Source organism: Homo sapiens, chromosome 7 (assembly GCF_000001405.40).
Source record: "Homo sapiens chromosome 7, GRCh38.p14 Primary Assembly".
Taxonomy (NCBI): Eukaryota; Metazoa; Chordata; class Mammalia; order Primates; family Hominidae; genus Homo; species Homo sapiens.
Genome location: NC_000007.14, coordinates 145,225,564 through 145,229,580, shown reverse-complemented (window position 1 = coordinate 145,229,580; position 4,017 = coordinate 145,225,564).

Below are 4,017 nucleotides of genomic sequence, written 5' to 3'. Positions count from 1 at the left end.
TAAAAATACAAAAAATAGCCCAGCGTGGTGGCACGTGCCTTTAATCCCAGCTAGTCAGGAGGCGGAGACAGGAGAAACATTTGGACCTGGGAGGAGGAAGTTGCAGTGAGCTGAGATCGCACCACTACACTCCAGCCTGGGTGACAGCATGAGAATCCATCTTTAAAAAAAAAAAAATTAAAACACCTTTGCATAATTAACTTTAAACCCCATTTTCATCTTGAAATAAGTGAAAGTGTACTGTATAATTATTAATGACTAACAAACTCTATTTTTCTGCACCATCTTCACTGAAGAATTAATTTTTAGCTCTGAAATTTTGTAAATTAATTACATGTATTATGTTGTTTTAATGTTTTTCAGTTTTTAAAAGTCAATAGCATGCTTGGTTATACATATTTATATTTCATTATGCATGTAAAACCTGTTTTGGTTACATATGTATTTTTATGTCTACCATGCACACATGTATATGTGTGTGTATATATATATATATACACATGTATATATGATAAACATAAAATGCATATGTATTTTACATATAATACATATATCTATATGTCTCAAGCATTATCAAAGGAAATATAAAGTTTATATATGTTTATTAAAGAAAATATAAAGTTTTCAGTTTTTAAAAATTAATAGCATGCTTAGTTATACATGTTTATATTTCATTACATATGTAAAACCTCTTTTGGTTACATATATATATTTTGTTTTTACCATATATACATGTATGTGTGTATACATGTATGTGGGTATACATGTATATATGGTAAACATAAAAATACATATGGATTTTATATAAAATACATATATAGTCCCAAGTAAATATTTTTATTAAAGGAAATATAAAGCTTACTATTAAAATAAGCTGGAAAAAGAGTCAGAGTCTTTTAAAAAATTATTAACAAACAAAAATTAGTAACAAATGAAACTATGATAGATCTCATGAAGGTAATTCCAGTGAAAACAAATAAAACTGAAGTTTGAGAAATGCTGACCTGCATAAAGAAAAGAAAAAAGGTGACAATCCTTTATCAAAGACATGTCTTTCTCCATACATCAATAATTAAAGAGGATTAAATTTATTTTTCACAATCATTCTGGAGTTAGAGCCATTTTCATAAACTTCTCACAGTTTTTGAATGACCACGAAAAAAATTATAAAGCAGCTGTAAGGTAACGGTACTTAATTATGATTGATTCCTAACTATCATCAGGGTGATTTTTAAAATGTTAAATCATGCTGCCATACAATATTTGCGTAGTAGATATGTCTATAATAAACCCTTCTAGACATTGGCTTAGGCATGGATGTCATGAGCAAGAACCCAAAAGCAAATGCAATAAAAACAAAGATAAGTAACTGGGACCTAATTAAACTAAAGAGCTTTTGCATGGCAAAAGGAACAGTCAGCAGAGTAAACAGATAATGCAGAGTGGGAGAAAATCTTCACAATCTACACATCTGACAAAGGATTAATATCCAGAATCTACAACGAATTCAAACAAACCAGTAAGAAAAAAAGAAACAATCCCATCAAAAAGTGGGCTAAGGACATGAATAGACAATTATCACAAGAAGATATATAAATGGCCAACAAACACGAAAAATGCTCAACATCATTAATGATCAGGGAAATGCAAATCAAAACCACAATATGACACCACCTTACTCCTGCAAGAATGGCCATAATCAAAAAATCAAAGAACGGTAAATGTTGACATGGATGCAGTGATTAGGGAACACTTCTACACTGCTGATGGGAATGTAAACTAGTAGAGCCACTTTGGAAAACAGTGTGGGTATTCCTTAAAGAACTAAAAGTAGAATTACTATTTGATCCAGCAATCCCACTACTGGGTATCTACCCAGAGGAAAAGATATTTATACACACTTTTACAGCAACACAATTCACAATTGCAAAATCATGGAATTTTGCAGTTCCACGATTGCAATATATATGATGGAATACTACTCAGCCCACAAAAAGGAATGAATTACACAGTATTTGCAGTGATCTGGATGAGACTGGAGATGATTATTATTATTATTATTATTTGTGAGACGGAGTTTCACTTTTGTTGCCCAGACTGGCCAGCTGGCGTGCATTGACGCAATCTTGGCTCACTGCAACCTCCACCTCCCGGATTCAAGCAATTCTCCTGCCTCAGCCTCCCGGGTAGCTGGGACTACAGACGCATGCCACCACACCCAGCTAATTTTTATATTTTTCTTTTAGTAGAGACGGGGTTTCACCATGTTGGCCAGGATGGTCTCGATCTCTTGACGTTGTGATTCGCCTGCCTCGGCCTCCCAAAGTGCTGGGATTACAGGCGCGAACCATCATGCCTGGCCCTGGAGATTATTATTCTAAGTGAAGTAACTCAGGAATGGAAAACCAAACATCACATGTTCTCATTGATATGTGAGAGCTATGAGGACACAAAGTTGTAAGAATGATACAATGGACTCTGGGGACTTAGGGGGGAAAAGTGAGAAGGGGACGAGGGATAAAATACTATAAATATGGTGGAGTGTATGCTGCTCGGGTGATGGGTGAACCAATATCTCACAAATCATCACTAAAGAACTTACTTATGTAATCAAATACCACCTGTTTCCCAATAACTTATGGAAAAATAAATTTAAAATAAATATAAATAAATAAATGAAAAGAAAAAGCCATCCATATTACCACTGCCCAAGTACAAGGCTTTGGACAAAAATGCTCATAAAATGCTTTCCCATAGTGATCAGTTACCCTGAGGTTGCAGGTTGCATTCCAATGAAATAGGCATTCTAATGAAAATGGTGACACCTGCATATGATTATAGCAAATCAAGGTCAGAGTGCAGACCAGAGAGGGCAGTACTTCAAAAGTTGACTGAATTTTGTCTTAGGAAGGTAACTTTTGCCTTCTCTCTAAAAATTTCTTATAGTCAGAGGCTTGCAGGCTCAGAGACTTCAGAACTGAAAGTTACAAACTCTTTTAATTACTCTTGTTATTGACTTAACTGCAAGTTCAAGAAAGATGATTAACATAGATTGTACTACTCTAAAAATATTATCAGTAATTTCACCAAAATTATTTATTTTCTTGTGTCTGCTTGTTACTTAACATAGAGGATGAAAGAGGAAGAATTAGATCTGTTATACATGATTTAAATTCAGACACTTGAACGCTGAAGAGGATCTACATCAAAGATCATATAACACAACCATTGTTTGTATAAATAAAGAAATTGAGTTCTTAAAGTTTAAGTGGCTTGTGCATCCGTGCACACACACACACTTGCACACACACATAAATTGAAAATGATAAAGATTTCATAAGTTTTTGAGAGAGAAAAAGCTCTTCTAACTTGAGGATTGTCCAAATCTATGTTATTAGTGGAAGTCTTTTCTTTCAAACTAAAGCAACATAGGTCCCCATATTTTTTATCTGCATTTTCTGCATTTAATCTGCATTTTTCTGCCCCAAAATATGTCTCTCTAAGAAATACAGTTTTCCTAAAAACCTCTTAGGAAGAGCAGCAGGAATAATGGTGAAATTTCAGAACAGGTATTGGAGATTCTCAGACCCTCTGCTCAATTTACCAGCCCTCTTTTGGGTGCCTTTGAGGCCAGGTTGTTTTGGTCTCTATTACAGCTAAGAGAATAACTCTATTACAGTTAAGAGAATAACTCTCCACTTCCTGCAGAGGCTCATGCAGCCATCTCACATGCAATATAGTTGATTTTATTTCTTAAAAATAATACATACCCACAGAATTATTGTTCTAATCATAAGGTAATAATTTCATGGTTACTAGAATATCTGGAAACCTAGAAAAGAACAGGAGAGATAATGAGAGTCAATCATAATCCTTCCGTAGTGGGAAATTAATTACTTTCTCAAAATCCATTACTACTTCCTAATAACTGCCAGGTTTATTTTTGAATCCATATGTTTCTGGGAAAACAGATGTTCCTTCAAGACCCAAAGGGGTGCCCAATAGGTGTAAATCCCA